Source organism: Homo sapiens, chromosome 18 (assembly GCF_000001405.40).
Source record: "Homo sapiens chromosome 18, GRCh38.p14 Primary Assembly".
In the NCBI taxonomy this organism is placed as follows: domain Eukaryota; kingdom Metazoa; phylum Chordata; class Mammalia; order Primates; family Hominidae; genus Homo; species Homo sapiens.
This window is the reverse complement of record NC_000018.10, coordinates 49,357,530-49,374,012: the sequence shown is the minus strand read 5'-3', so window position 1 is coordinate 49,374,012 and position 16,483 is coordinate 49,357,530. Positions and strand designations below refer to the sequence as shown.

General features: G+C 40.3%; 1 protein-coding gene across 41 annotated transcripts in view; it reads left to right on the top strand.

Annotated features, from left to right (window-relative positions):
- Window positions 1-16,483, top strand: part of DYM (dymeclin) — a 424,259-nt gene that overhangs the window by 86,633 nt on the left and 321,143 nt on the right. For 37 of the 41 annotated variants that reach the window (NM_001374439.1, XM_047437559.1, XM_047437553.1 and 34 more), the window contains one exon: window positions 10,780-10,852. The exons of the other annotated variants lie outside the window; for them this stretch is intronic. In NM_001374439.1, the coding sequence (NP_001361368.1) occupies window positions 10,780-10,852 (73 nt within the window). The remainder of the gene's footprint in view (window positions 1-10,779; window positions 10,853-16,483) is intronic. 41 annotated transcript variants of the gene reach the window in all.

Below are 16,483 nucleotides of genomic sequence, written 5' to 3'. Positions count from 1 at the left end.
ATATTTTTTAAATATATACTGATGTCTGAAGTTAGAGCTTTTAATTAGAATTGTGTCTTGCGTGTGTTAGTTTTGTTAATGCTGGCCTTCATGTTTGTGATGCCAGTAGTACCAAAAACATAGTTCTGCTTGGTAAGTTGCAAACCTTCCCATGAAGTGCTAGCAGCAAGAATGGAGTGAATGTTTATCCTCACAGGGCCCAAGAGCATAGCCCACTCAATACCTGCAAACCCAGCACTTTGTTTTGTATTATGTCCTACAAAATGTGCATATTTTTACTTTATTTAACGTGATATTGTCAGAGGCATGGGAACCAGAACAACTCCATCTTGAATAGGAGCTGGGTAAATTAAGTTGAAACCTACCAGGCTATATTCCCAGACAGTTAAGACATTCTAAGTCACAGAATGAGATAGGAAGTTGGCACAAAATACCAGTCATGAAGACCTTGCTGATAAAACAAGTTGCAGTGAAGGAGCCAGCCAAAACCCACCAAAACCAAAATGGCCACGAGAGTGACCTCTGGTCATCCTTACTGCTACACTCCCACCAGCGCCATGACAGTTTACAAATGCCATGGCAATCTTAAGAAGTTACCCTATATGGTCTAAAAAGGGGAGGCATAAATAATCTACCCCTTGTTTAGCATATAGTCAAGAAATAACCATAAAAATGGGCAACTGGCAGCCCTGGGGACTGCTCTGTCTCTGGAGTAGCCGTTCTTTCATTCCTATACTTTCTTAATAAACTTGCTTTCACTTTGCATTGCGGACTAGTCCTGAATTCTTTCTTGCACGAGATCCAAGAACCCTGTCTTGGGGTCTGGATTGGGACCCCTTTCCTGTAACATATTTCTCTGTCCTGTAACAATATCATTTTTATTGTAATATAAAATTATTTTTCATTATATACCATTAAGTGAATTGATGCATTTTAGAGATATACTGTATTTATTTTGGGGTCCAAATCTCAGAGTATCCCTGCACCCCCCACCCTTGTCCAAGCTTGAGAAGCAAGGTTTTTTGTTGTGCATCCTAGGTAACCTAATGTAAGGGTAGTGGGAGAATGACACTTTTTCAACCATAGGCCACTTTATCAAGATGGTTATCTCACTGAAAGAGCCATCTCTGTGGTAATCTCTGTGATTCTGTCTGCATACTGACAGACCTTTTCTTTCTTTTTTTTTAATTTGAACCTATCATTGTGAATATATGCTTCCTTTATACAGAGTTGACAGTTCAGGATTTTATACATGGTTTTTTCTTTTTCAGGCAGAGTCTTGCCCTGTCACCTGGGCTGGAGTGCGGTGGTGCAATCTCGGCTCACTGCAGCTTCCACCTCCCAGGTTCAAGCAATTCTCCTGTATCAGCCTCCTGAGTAGCTGGGATTACAGGTGCCTGCCACCATGCCTGGCTAATTTTTGTATTTTTTTAGTAGAGACGGAGTTTTGCCATGTTGGCCAGGCTGGTCACGAACTCCTGACCTCAGGTGATCTGCCTGCCTCGGCCTCCCAAAGTGCTGGGATTACAGGCATGTGCCACCTCACCCGGCCCTATACATGTTCTTTAGTGTTTATAATTGAGCCTACTCTTGGTCCACCAGCTTAAGTCCAATGAATATCTTTTAAGACTAAAAACTTTCTGTTTTTGGCATATGTAATTATTTTTACCTTAGTCTTCCATGTTGTTAGTTTGAGATTTCTACTTTAGCCCTTTTTATATTTTCTGCCAATTTCTTTTTACAGTTGATAAAAGAGCAATAAAATTAAATGATTACAGAGATACTGTTGAAAGGGGGAAAAATGGAGCATCACCATGCAGTAGCTGAAGACATCCATTTATCAGCTGATATATGATATCTGATTTAGGTATATGAAAGAGTGGGGTCGATAATATACAGTGGTACAGGTTGTTTGAAGGTCGAATTTACAAAAGTAGAGGGCCATCTGCAAACAATTGAGCAAAGTCAACTGAGGCATCTTAGGTATGTTGGCTTATTCCACATACAGCATTTTTTTCTTTATTCCAATCCATTGTAATACTGCTGTGATCACATGGATATTGCTGGCATTTTCAGTGAAGCAGTCTTTATGAGAGTAATGTGACTGTCAGTAAGCTCTTAGTTTGTAATCTAAATTTGTGAGGATTTTGTATTTGAACATTTTCCCATAGGCTATGTATGATGTGGTAGCAGATTGTTAGGGAGAATTTGTATTATTATATGAGGATAGCTCTTCCATTAGTCCATGCGTTTGAGAATCAGTCAAAGGGGACAAAGCCAGCCCTAGGCAAAACTATGAAGTAATACAAAATTGTTTCCATTTTCCTTTTGCCTTCAATGTGAGTTTTTCTTTCCTCTGGCTTGGTATTATACCCCATTCTTGCCAAGGTAATACTGATATTTATTTCACATTTGGCGTCTTATAAATCCAATATTTTAAATCCTTAGGGGCCTAAATCTGCTGTTTGTTTTTGGAAACGCTTCTCATGGCTTGTTTCCTTGTGTATTTGATGTCATTGATTGTATTATTATTATTATTATTTTGAGACAGAGTTTCTGTCACTCAGGCTAGAGTGCAGTGGCACAGTCACAGCTCACTGAAGCCTCAGCCTCCTGAATAGCTAGGGCTACAGGCACATACCATTAAGCCTGGCTAATTTTTAAAGATTATTTTTGGTAGAGATGGGGTCTCACTATGTTGCCCAGGCTGGTCTCAAATTCCTGGCCTCAAGCAATCCTCCTGCCTTGGCCTTCCAAAGCACTGGGATTATAGGCATGAGCCACCACACTTAGCCTTGTTTGATCTTATTTGAGGCTCCAAATAAGGGAGAGATTTGCATTTGCTTCTAAAGGGATCCAGGGCCTGTAACACCTGATGCCATGTTAGCATCCTGCAGCAATTCTTGACTTAATGTGGAGTCTCAGGTTCAGGCCCCATTCCTTGCCACTGACTGAGGCTTAGTCAGTGGGCTTCATTCTAACTGGCATTCATCCTCAGGGTTACCTATCTTAGCGTTTGCTTACTTCTCAGTGTTTTACTCTGGATTCAAGTCCATTTATTTGCTCGTAGGTTGTTCTTTTGGTTATAGGGTTGGAGTCCTTAGAAATTTGCTTTACATTCTGGGAAGCCCATCAATGCACTAAAAAGTGTTATTTTAGCCAAGAACTAGATGTTTTGTACAGGAGGGCTTATTGGAGTAACTACTCCACCATGCTGCAATGATAGTTTCTTTTTCTTTTATTTTGGAGACAGAGTCTTGCTCTCTTTCCCAGGCTGGAGTGCAGTGGCACGATTTTGGCTCACTGCAACCTCCACCTCCTGGGTTCAAGTGGTTCTCCTGCCTTAGCCTCCCGAGTAGCTGGGAATCACAGGCGCATGCCACCATGTCCAGCTGATTTTTATATTTCTAGTAGAGATGGGGTTTCACCATGTTGGCCAGGCTGGTCCCAAACCCTGACCTCAAGTGATCTGCCCTCCTTGGCCTTCCAAAGTGCTGGGATTACAGGTGTGAGCCACTGAACCCGCCTATAGTTTCTTTACAATTATTTTTTGTTTATTTATTTTTTAAATGAGGGAAGAAGCCTTTGGAGATTGAGAGGCTGAAGATAAAAGCAACAAAGTGGGGGTGGTGGGAAATAAAGCTGAAAGGAAGGTCCAGGGAAGTAGGAGGTGCTAGGATGAAGAGCCCAGAGAGGGAGTTAGTCCTGTTTTGTTTTTTTTTTTTTTTTTTTCTGAGATGGAGTTTCGCTCTTGTTTCCGAGGCTGAAGTGCAGTGGTGCGACCTTGGCTCACTGCAACCTCCGCCTCCCAGGTTCATGCAATTCTCCTGCCTCAGCCTCCCAAGTAGCTAGGATTACAGGCGTGGGCCACCATGCCCAGCTGATTTTTGTATTTTTAGTAGAGACGGGGGTTTCACCGTGTTGGCCAGGCTGGTCTTGAACTCCCGACCTCAAGTGGTCCGCCCATCTCGGCCTCCCAAAGTACTGGGATTATAGGCGTGAGCCACTGCGCCCAGCGTTATTCCTGTTTTGAAAGAGATTACCACCTGTGGCCCAGTGGGCAGCTCTGTGAGCACTGAGGGGAGGGAGGCAGCAGATCAGCTGCCCAGACCTGGGGCGAGCAAGGTGCTAGGCCCAAGACACTGTATGACCTGTGAGTACAGCTTTGTGGAGAGTAGAAAAGGGACAGGGACTCGACAAAGCCAAGCGGAAGCCTGGCTTTAATGGCACTTCCATGGCACAAAACAGTTTCAATATAAACTTATTTTTAAAAAATTATTTTGTGGGACTTATTCTCAAGCATAGTAGATTAAACATGCATGTTTGCTTTCTCCTGGAACTCCAATAAAATATCAGCAAAGGGACTTCTAAAAAGTCATGAATTTATTAGATTGAAGAAGAGAGGGGAACACAATGTTAATAACATTTTGAAAGTTGGAAAATGGAGTAATGATGAGCTTCACTGATCTGTGAAAGCTGAAAGCTAAATGGCTTCAAGGTTGGAGAACTCCAGAAAAAAAGCCAGTTCTTACTCCAGAACCCTGGAAAGTCTTAGGAATCAGAAGTGCCAGGGGTCTCTGAAGGCATTCAGGCTTGGTTGGAAGAAGCAGTTCTGTCCAAGGTTCTGTCCCTTCCCATGTGTTAGGAGGCCACCCCCCTTCCCAGTTTAATACTAGAGATCTGTTATCCATAGAGGCTGAACCCAGAGAGTCTCCTGAATGAACTCTCAGGCAATGGGGAAGGAGGGTGGCCTACTGAGACGAGGGCTCAGTGGAAAGGCCACATATGGAAGGGTAAGGTATCTTGACTAGGCTGCTAGAATGCTGGCACCAGGATTTTACCCACCCTATTCCCTTTCCTGCCAGATTAGTGGATACTCTTATAGAGAAAATGAACCAAAACGGGGAAAAGGCTTACATTTCAGCGTCCCCTAGTGAAGCAGCCCGAAACCCTCCAGTGGGAACCGCCGTTTGGCAGGCTCTGCCTGTGCACACCGCGCTTTCAGTCAGCATTGGCCTCACGCTGGCAGGTCAGTGGAGAGCCAAGGATTCCAAACAGTGAAGGCAGTGGCTGACTTGTGAGAGATCAAAACGAAACAAAAAAGTGATACAAGATAGGAAATTTGTGGAAGTATATTTAAAATTTGTTAATTACCCCCTGTCTAACACAAGCAGTTTCCTTTCCATTCTCCCCAGACTTAAAACATTTTTGAAACTCTTTCTTTGGAATCACCTTCAAAACCTGTGGCATGTTTGTTTTGCCAAACTCGGTGGCGGTGAGTCCTGTGAAACCAGCTTTGTTTTTCCAGATGGCTCAGGTGCTTCGGCTGCCACGGCAGCAGGTTCTCTGCTCTCTTTTCTCTGCTGGAACTGGGCCCTAGAGACTGGGGCAGGCGGTAGGTAGCTCAGGAGGTAAACCCAAAATTGTATAGTATGTGGTTGGGTGGTTTTTGCTTTATTTGTTTAAATACCAAATTTAATAATTTAACCTTATTAGTTATAGGTAAGCAATGCAAAAAACAAACCCATATGGAAAAATGTGGCCCAGAGAAAAAAGAAAGCATGGACTTATTCCTTTAAAATATTGACTTGTAATATATAAGACTTGTAATCTGTATCTGCAGAAAAACAAAAGTGCCTCTAGGAATTCCTGAACTGTTCTTTGGTCATATAATAGGTGTGATTGTTTTGTCATATTTCTGTCTCTTCTCTCCCTTTCTTTCCCTTATGTTATCAGTGGAACAAAATCAATTAAACTTTTCTATAGGCACATTTTATAATCAAACCTGGTAGAGTATATTATCTTTTAGGGTAATTAGAAACATTTCTGTTTGACCAAAATAATAGCAGTCAACCAGAATTATTACTGATCTGATTGGAATGGTACAGGACACAAGCTTATAAATACTGTAGTGCACTGAAATGCAGATCACTTTTCTTTTTAGAAGAGTCCTTTTGCCTTTCCTCTTTATGATTAACCTACAAGAGACATTTTTGGTTTTGCTAATTAGAAGTTTAAATCTAATATTTTAGAATAACTTCAATGTTAGTTTCACTATTAAAGTGGCAAAAACATAGACTCTACCGTGAGTCTTTTATTTTCTGAATATAAGTTTTTAATAAATATAATTTAATTATGTGTCTTCCATTTTAAAGAAGCCAATTTTATTCTGAACTTCTAAGGTACTCTTTTAACCTATTTTTGGAGTACAGCCCTGTTCGATTAAGTTTTTAGTACTTGTATTTGGCACAGTGTAATTTTGGGCAGCATTAAAAAACTGGCAGTTCAACCTTCTGAACGCAAAGAAAACAAAGACAAAAACTCTGTCTTTTAACATTTCTTTTAATGACTGTATGTATTCTGATTTAAATCCATATGTTTCATTTTTCTGGTTGCTTTGTTTTCTAATGATCAGTGAGTGCTTTTTAAAAATAATTTTTTTACTGTCTTCCCTTCCCCTCCTACTGTGTTGGAAGGCATTTGATTAGGACAGTATTGTACTGTTCTCTGCTTCTCTCCCTAAGGACAAAACAACAGTGCTGTCTCACTCAGCACATGGTGCTGAATGGATGCTGAATAGAATGAACTAACAGGGACTGCAGCTTAATTTTGGGTATAGATTATTAGAACCTTAAGGGACCCTAGATATCATCTCGCTTGTCTACTTCTTCCCCTGGTGAAGTTCTTAGGGACTAGAGCAGTGGGGCTTTAGAGTGAGAAAACTCCAGGGATAGGGCTGGGATTTTAGTGACCTTGTTCTGCACAATACGGATGATAATAGCTTATATTTATTCATTGTTTTAGATTATTTGTACATTGGATTTTGAAGGAGTCAAGAACTTCTAGTATGTGTTGATGAATACATAGTGTGTCATCTTTATGTATAAACTAATATGTAGTACTTCAGATGTCTCCCTCCTAACCGGGCCCATAGTACTTGGGGTTTTGTGTTTACAGTGTTCAGTAAAACATGAATTGGTTGAATATTTTCCCCCAACTTTGTGTAGAAACATATCTTTAAAAATAATTTAAAGGATATTTTCCTTTTAATTTTTTTCCTTGAGAGTATAGATTTGAGTTCCAATCTGGTTTCTGCCCCTTACTCTAATTAAACTAACCTATCTGAGCCTTGATGTCTTCATCTGTAAAATGATGATCATAATCATTAACTATTCATCAAGAGTTACTGTCAGGATTAACGTTAACATGACATTGAGTATAAAGTGCTCATCACAATGCCTGTCAAAGGGTAGAGTACTTGGTAAATGTTTGCTGTTAATATGATCTTATAGAAACTAAGACTTAAAATATTAAAATATTTGTCTGGACCTATTGTGGTAATTTAAAACTCTTTAAGGGAGAACTCTTGTTTGTTTGTTTGTTTTAAGAGATAGGGTCTTGGTATGTTGCCCAAGCTGGCCTCCAACTCCTGGGCTCAAGAGATCCTCCTGCCTCAGCCTCCTGAGTAGCTGGTGCTATAGCAGGTGCCACTGCACCAAGCATTGAGAGAGAACTCTTAGGAGAGAAATGTTCTTTCTTAGAGAACTCTAAGTTATAAAACTTTACAATACAGTAAACACACTGAATCTTTGCAAAGACCTTTGCTCAAAGAACCTCAGTTTATTTTGTCATTGACCTGCAAATTTCAAGAACTTTTAAGATTCTTTTTACTGTATGAAATGCTTGAATGTGTTACTATACTTTTTGTAGGTGAGTTTATATTTATTTTTTGGAACTAAGGAAGATATTTGGCCTTATAAGAAAGCTAAGGTGATATAAGTGCTAGTTGGGAAATAATGCAATATGAATGGCTTGCTTGATGTCAAACCTAGTAAGCAGTCAAATCTTGTCAATCTTCACTTAAAATACAATTATTTACTTCTAGATTAGCTGAGAAACAAGAATTTAGAATTCTGAGGAATTTTTTTTTTAGTGAATGGAAGTCTTAAGATATTTCAGCTGGAAATTGCTTATTGTCTTTTGTTAGAGCTTTGGCCTTGAAATATTACATTTTACTTCTATGAAATATGTTTATCATCATCTTCATTATTTTATTAGATTGGTAACAAAGCTGTGTGTATACTCCTTAATTGACCCAACTGTAAATTTGGCCGAGGTTGTGATTTGAGTGGCACATGGAATTGAATAGAGAATCCTTGTCATCATTTTAAGATGTAAAAATTAGGTGTTTTTATACCCCTGGAAGTTAAAAAATCAAATCAGGCACCATCTGTGGTTCCTGAGTGCTTGGTCTCTCACCTTCCGTAATTAAAAAACTGTGCTGGCTGCTTGGCTGAACAGGGATGTTATTAAACTGGCATTTGGTCTGAAATGTTTCTTAGGGAATCACTGAGTGATTTTAAGTGTTCTTTCTTGGGCCTGGGACATTGCATCCTGTAGAATGAGTTAAGGAGTGACCATTTAGCAAACGTACATTGAGTATATATTACATACCAACAAATCAACTTGTTGGAGTAGGTTGTTAACTTGAGTTATGTTGGACAGCCTTGGCAATGAGAGGGATTTTAGTTAGATCTGGTAACTAATCATGCAGTCCCAGAGACAAGTGTGACTTACTCTTTTATTTTTTTTTCTTCACTAATAATAGAGCCAAGCCCGATGTTTCTTGGAGTGAGATTTAATTTGGTTGTTGAACTTGAGTCTTGCTGTGTATCCTTTTTAGCATCGATTGCTGTGTTCAGCATGATTTAATATTCTTTTTAAGATTTGTACTTACCTCTCACGGGGTTACTGTGCCAGTTCTTTGTGGCAAAGCAGGATGAAATTTCTTTATAATTTCTGAATGCTAGGTGATATTGTAGCCTAGAAAAGAAATTGCTAAACTTTTTTTTTTTGAGACTCCAAGTGCTTTGATGCTTTGCAATTAACTGCTGGATTTTTTCTGAGATGCTTGGGCTCAGTTCAGCAAATTGTATTGAGTACATACTATGTGCAAGCTCTTTGTGAGTCATCATCCTCTAGAAGTATAGAGTCCAGTAGGGGCCTGCCTGCTTGTAGACAAAAAATGATGGCATAATGTAACCAACATATGCAACGCAAGAGGCATGCACAAGGCATAGATACTTTATAGATTATTCAGGGTGAGACAAGGGAGTGGGTTTCATGGAGGATATGAAACTGAGGATGGTTCAGATGGATACAGATGGGCTTTTTAAAAACTAGGTTTTTATTGTTGGAGGCTATTCCAGGCAGAGGGAATGTTACTGAGGTGTGAAATGGCATGTAGTGGATAGCTTGGCATTGCTGGAATATACACTGCAGTACTGGAGGAAGATAAATGTAGAAAGGGATGCAGGACCTATATCTCCAAGAGTCTGGCATGCTGTACTTTGGAGCATGGAATTTTTCTGATATATATTAATCAGCTTAAAGTAATTGAAAAGATCTAAGCCAGGAGAGTGAAAGGATGGAGTTTAGTTAGCTCTGTCTGATTGCAATCTGGAGTTTGGATTGCAGAGGAGTAAAATTGGAACTACAATACTAACTAGTTATGAAGGTTAAAGGAGTCCAGGAGTCAGTTTTCTTTCTTTCTTTCTTTTTTTTTTTTGAGACACAGTCTTGTTTTGTCACCCAGGCTGGAGTGCTGTGGCGCGACCTCAGTTCACTGCAACCTCTTCCTCCCGGGTTCAAGCAATTCTCCTGTCTCTGCCTCCTGAGTAGCTGGGACCACAGGCGTGCGCCACCATGCTGGACTAATTTTTGTATTTTTATTAGAGGTGGGGTTTCACCATGTTGGCCAGGCTGGTCTCGAACTCCTGACCTCAGGTGATCTGCCTGCCTTGGCCTCACAAAATGCTGGGATTATAGGTGTGAGCCACCACACCCAGCCCAGGAGTGAGTTTTAATTTAGTAAACTTGTTTAGCTGCACTGTGGTGATGAGATAATGAACAAAAAAGCATGACAATGGTGGAACTCTGGGGAACATGCCAATAGTTGAAACGTATTTTGAGGAAGCAGACACTGGGAAGAAATAGAAAAAGAAGTTGGTTAAAAATAAAGTATTATAAGAACTGAGAAAAGAAAGAATTTCATGAAGGAGTAGGTGTCAGTAATGTCCAAGACCAGAAGTCACATGAGATACTGACTGACTTTGGGAATTTGGAGGTCACTTACCTGTAGTAGTTTGGGATAGGGGAACATTTCCATTGGAATGGTAATTTGCATCCTGCCGTTGCCACTTATTTATTCTGTGACTTGGGAAAGCCCTTTTACCTTTGACTCATTGTCTGTAAAGAGGAGGTTGGCCTCTTTAATGGGGTTCAGTCTATGATCCGTGGAGTGCCAGAGGTTCATAAAAGGTACCTTCAGGCCCTCCCATCAAGAAATCAAGGGTAAGGCCAGATATTTGTTGGGGAGGGAGGGATAAAAGTCCTCTACCCCTGCTTCAAACAAAGCAGTGAGAGCAGCTTGATTTTTATCTGTTTCATATATTTGGCTTTAATGTAAGATTTCATTGAAAGAAACACAGTGCAGTATAAGAAATCTGACAACTACTGGCGTACAGGAGCCTAAAGTACCTTCAAGCTTTAAAAGCTGTATTATTAACAGCAGGTGTTGAAAGGTCCTATGCTAGATGAAGATCATCATAGATGCTAACCTATTCATGATTTGGATTTTATTCAGAGGTCAACATTAATATCTGAGTTTATATAATGATAACTGTTTGTATTCTCATTAGGAATGAAAATGTAACTTCTGAACAACTGTATTCTACTGTGTACTTTGTTAAAAAAAAATCTTTTTATGTGTCTTACCAGGTTCTGACTCAGAAGATCTTTTGGAAGAATTGCTGTGCTGTTTGATGCAGTTGATCACTGATATTCCACTCTTGTAAGTTCTGGCTAGGCCAGGATTTGTTTTATCTTCTTTGTATATGGCAGATAATCATTGATCATGTTGAGAAGTTTGTGGGTCCTTGTATAGAACTTATATGTGTGCCTTTTAAGGATTCTATATCCACAGAGTTCTTTTCTCTCTACCTAATATTTAGACTGACTATTCATTGTCAAAACAAAAATGTTACGTTGTTAAGGGGAAAACAGTGAAACTATATTAAGAATATGGTAGGCACAGAATTAATCTCTGTATTAAGAGATCTTATAGATCTTTGGAAACAAGATTTTAAGAGAGAAGCAGTTTGAATCTACTTCATATTGTGGTAGACACAGTGAGTTGAGTTCTCCTTATCTTCCTGACTTCCTGATTGTATTTCCAGCCTCTTTTGAAGCCAGGTTTTCGTTTCCAGCCTTCTTTGAAGCTAGGCATAGTCAGTGAGATGTAGGGGAAGGTCCTCCAATGAAACCTCTGGGTAAAGCTCTCTAAAAGGAACTGATTGAGTCAGCTAGGAGGCACATCTTTTTGATCTTAACAGCCCTTTCTCCTGCTGTCTGGAATGTGGATAGTCTTTTGAGTTGCATAGCCTTCTTGGCACCATGAACCAAGAGACTTACAGAAAATTCTGTTTTGATGTCATTGAGCTGCTGAACCAAAGCCAACAACTACCAGTACCACCTTTTTTCATCCTGGACTTCTCATGTGACAGAAATAGACCCTTATTTGTTAACACTGCTGTAACTGGGCTTCTGTCACTGCAGCTCAATGCAATTCCTTTGTGATTCGAAATGTTCATCTCATTTGTTGCTTTTAAAAATTTAAAGTAGAGACAGGGCCTCACTATGTTGGCCAGGTTGGTCTCGAACTCCCAGCTTCAAGTGATCCTCCCACCTCAGCCTCCTAAAGTGCCTGGATTACAGGTGTGAGCCACCGTGCCTGGCCTCATTTGTTACTTTTAAAGCAGTGATTCTCCACCTTTAAAAAAAAGTATTGGCCAGGTGCAGTGTCTCACGCCTGTAATCCCAGCACTTTGGGAGCCTGAGGCAGGTGTATTGTTTGGATGCAGGAGTTGGAGACCAGCCTGGGCAATATAGTGAGACCCTGTCTCTACTTAAAAAAAAAAAAAAAAAATTAGGCCGGATGCAGTGGCTTATGCCTGTAATCTCAGCATTTTGGAAGGCCAAGGTGGGCAGTTCATGAGGTCAGGAGTTCACGACCAGCCTGGCCAACATGGTGAAACCCCGTTTCTACTAAAAATACAAAAACTAGCTGGGCGTGGTGGCGCATGCCTGTAATCCCAGCTACTCAGGAGGCTGATGCAGGAGAATCGTTTGGACCAAGGTCGGGAGGCAGAGGTTGCAGTGAGCCGAGATCACGCCACTGCACTCCAGCCTGGGCTACAGAGCGAGACTACGTCACAAAAAAAATAAAAAATTAAAAAATTAAAAAAATATATTGTCCCCCTGAGAAGCCTTGTTTGACATTTCTTTGATAATTGCCTCTCCCACTTAATGAAATTTGAATCCCCAGACACACTGAATATCTGTTTATGTCCTGCAGCCCTTTGGAGGACCGCAAACCATTATTATTGTATCTATGAAGATTTTTACTTACCTCTGTGGAACCAATTTACATCTCCTGTTGAAAATGCATATGTACAAGGAATTATTTTTGAAATAAAAAAGTAGATTTTAATGTTTCTCATCACAGAATCTCAGTCTACATGGAGATATAATTGGAAATGTGCTATTTGTCTATGGCCCCAAAAGGAAAGACAGGTATTTGTGAGAAAATAGGCTCCAGGCTGCTGTCGTACATGAATGCAGCATCTAGAATTTTAATATAGATTTCGAAGTGAGAACCACCAACCCCTGTCGTGATATGGCCTGGTGGTATGCACCCAGGAAAGTAGGGCTGAGGCAGCTGAAGAGTCATTGCCTAGGGAAGGAAATGGGACAATTTCCCATTCAACCGGAGCTCCTGCAGCAGACACTTGCATGACATCCTTTCTCCCCTTCCATTCTAACAGAACTCCAGTATTGTTTAGAGTGGTGCTGTGTGCCCAGATTAGTTTTTCAGACACTTTGGCGGTTCCATGTGACCATGTGACATAGTTTGGGTCAAGTATATGTGAGCAGAAGTCATGAACTTGCAGAGCATATCCACTCTAGCCTTTTGCTCATTGCCTTCTCTTCCTTCCTGGAATGTGGAGGCAATGCTTGGGCTGTCTTGAAACTATGTTAATGAGCATTGCATGCAAAGACTAGTGTCCTGGGAGCATGGGACATTGGTGACAATATGAAACTATTACATTGGCCCTGGATCCCATATCTTTGGGTTTCCTCTTACATGAGAAAAATAGATACCTATCTTGCTTAGGCCACTGTGGTTAGGTTTCTTTTACATGTGGTCAGATCAGGGAAGGGAAACACATATACTGTGTACTGTTTCTTTGTCATGGTATGTGGAGTGCTTCATGTGTTCCTGATGTAATTTTAAAAGTAGCACCACCTGCAATTTTTTTTCTTTTTTTTTTTGAGATGGATCTTACTCTGTCACCCAGGCTAGAGTGCAGTGGCGTGATCTCAGCTCACTGCAACCTCCGCCTCCTGGGTTGAAGCGATTCTCCTGCCTCAGCCTCCTGAGTAGCTGGGATTACAGACGAGCGCCACCACACCCGGCTAATTTTTGTATTTTTAGTAGAGATAGGGTTTCACCATGTTGGTTAGGCTGGTCTTGAACTCCTGACCTGTGATCTGCCCGCCTCGGCCTCCCAAAGTTCTGGGATTACAGGCATGAGCCACCACGCTCAGCCCTAAATATTTTTTTTTTTTATATAACACAATACCAGGAATTTAGTATATATCTTAAATGAGTACACGCTTTTTTTTTTTTTTTGCCTTTATTGATAAAATGTTTTGGTGACATTCAGGGTGATGGAAACAGTAAATACCTTTAGATAGTAAATTGGCTCCAAACACAATGAATAGAGCAGCCATTTAAACACTCTTGAGGAGCAAGCCGATTGTGTTGTAATATATCAAACATTTCAGTGTTTTAATGTGTTTATACCTTTTAAATTAGCTGAAAATGCACAGCTAGCCAGTTGTCTCCTATTATGTACACTCAGCTTTAACCAGCTGCTGAAACAATTTCTGATGATTTAATGTTCTTGGAACTCCATCCTACAAGAAGGTTTGTCTTGGTAACAGTTTCCATGTGAAACCAAACTACTCTTTAAATGTTTCATTTCCTCTAACTGTAGTGCAGTATTTATGGATCAGTGTATAATTTAAGAGGAAATAGGAATATATGCAAACCACGAATGCTCTCACACCTGAACATCATCAGAAGTGCTATAAACGTTTCACATTTCACATTGGTAATTCATCCTGTGCTGCATTAGCAGGTAAATAACAAGATGAAATGAATTTTAATGGCCACTGAGGGTAATTCAAACTAGCGTAAATGTTTCTTATGAGACTTTTAAAATCATTCTGTTAATATTGAGAGCAAAGGGTTTACCACGGACACATACATGTGTATGCTATATATTTATTTAGAGATCTGTAAACTAAAATGTAAATGATACCTTATTATAAAGAGAATAGGATCAGTGGCATACTTGAAATAAACTCCCAGAAGTTCATTACAGTGATCTTTGTAGGAGTTCATTTGTAATGAAGATTCACTTTTAAGTAGTTAGTGGCTACTGTTTCTCAGACACTTTGGATTTCTTGATAAAATATTAATTCACGGAGGTACTAATCTTCATTAAAATTGTTCATCTTTCAGGAGTCCTTCCTTAACTCCATAGCTCTCAGCATTTATATATTTAAAATAAAGATTAAGTTATGCACGGGCTTGACATTTTTCAGTGTGTATTGGATCGATCCCACTAGAATTTAAATAAATCGGCCAAAAGCAAATCCTTGCCTTTGATTTTTATACCTTCCCTGTGTCTCAGTGAAGTAAACAGGAAAGTAATAAAGATAAAGGTATTTTCCTCAAGACACTAATATGGAGTGTTCTAACAGAAAGAACGTGGGTAGGTAAGCCAGAGGTAAAAGCCCAGCGCTCGGAATTTGTGACACTGTCTGGGTTCTTGTAGTGTTACTATAAGGGCTGAATGAGACTTGTGGGAACCAACCGAGTGGTGGAGTCAGGTGTGGCCATAGCCGCAGAAGCAGTGATGCCGTATAGACCCATCCTTGTATTTTGGGGCTGCTTGTGATGCTGTTTTGTTAAGAAATGGAAGTTATTTTGAGGACGCAAATTAGATTTTTTTCCCTTGTCTTTGTATCTGTTTTTGTTGCTGTCATTTTTCAGCAAATCTGTGGCTGTTAGTTGTACATGAGGATGTCAGTGTCAAGCACAGGCCCCACTCCTTCTCACTAGTGCCACCACTCTGGGCAGGTCTGCTCAGAGTAGGCCTCTTTCTATTGGCCTCAGACCCAAAATACAGCCTCTTTCTCTGGGATCCATTTCTGTGGTCTTTCTTATGAACCTGTGAACTCATTGAGGACTGTTTAATTTTTAGTCTGGCCCTGATTTGCAGATTTGTCAATTATAATTTAATCTAAGAAAACTTTTTGTAGTTTTTTTCGTAAGGTATAGATTGATAAAGATGAGAGTTTCATAATTAATTGCTTTCACTGCCTTTTTCAGGGAGTGTGTATCTATTTGTGTACTGTGACTTGTCGAGTACAGGGGATATCTGATGTCATCTGCTAACCCTCACTGGTGGTCTTGCTAATGTGGAGCATGCCAGTCCATGCTGTGTCTAGGGCCTTTGCCTTCTTTCCTTCTACAGTTTGTCTTCCTTTAGATATTTGCATGGCTCACGTTCTGACCACCTTCAAGCTTTCATCTGCTTCAGGTTTTGTTTCTTTAGAAATGGCCACCCTGACTACCCTATAGAGTAGCTTTGACCACCTGAAAATAGCTGCCCTCTCATTCTGTGTCTTTTTTCATGTGTTATTTATTTACTTATTTATTTATTTTTTTGAGATGGGATTCCCACTCTGTCACCCAGCCTGGAGGGCAGTGGCACAATCATGGCTCAGTATAGCCTCAACTGCCCAGGCTCAAGCAATTCTCCCATCTCAGACTCTTGAGTATCTGGGGCCACAGGTGTGTGCCACCATGCCTGGCTAATTTTTAAAATTATTTTTAGAGATGAGGTCTTGCTGTGTTGCCCAGGCTGGCCTTGAATTCTGGGCTCAAGCAACCCTCCTGCCTTGGCCTCCTAAAGTGCTGGGATTACAGGCAAGAGCCACCACACCTGGCCTGTTTTTTGTCTTAACACTTTTCACTACTCTTCATATTACCTGTTACCTCTCTTGCTCATATTTTCCCAATAAAACTAGAATGAAACCTCCATGAAAACAAGGGCTCTTGTGGCAGCATTTGGTTTGCTCACTGCTGCTGCATCCATGATATTCAGGTTAGCTTGGCACATGGTAGACTCAAATATTTCTTTACTGAGTAAATTAGTAAGGGTCTAACCTGTTCACTGTGCTTAAAGCATTTTGTTTGTTTCTCAGCATCTAGTCTATATGGAAACAGTATTGTGCTAAGGCATATTCCACTGCAAGTGTAATGGCTCATTTGTAGTTGGCACATTGT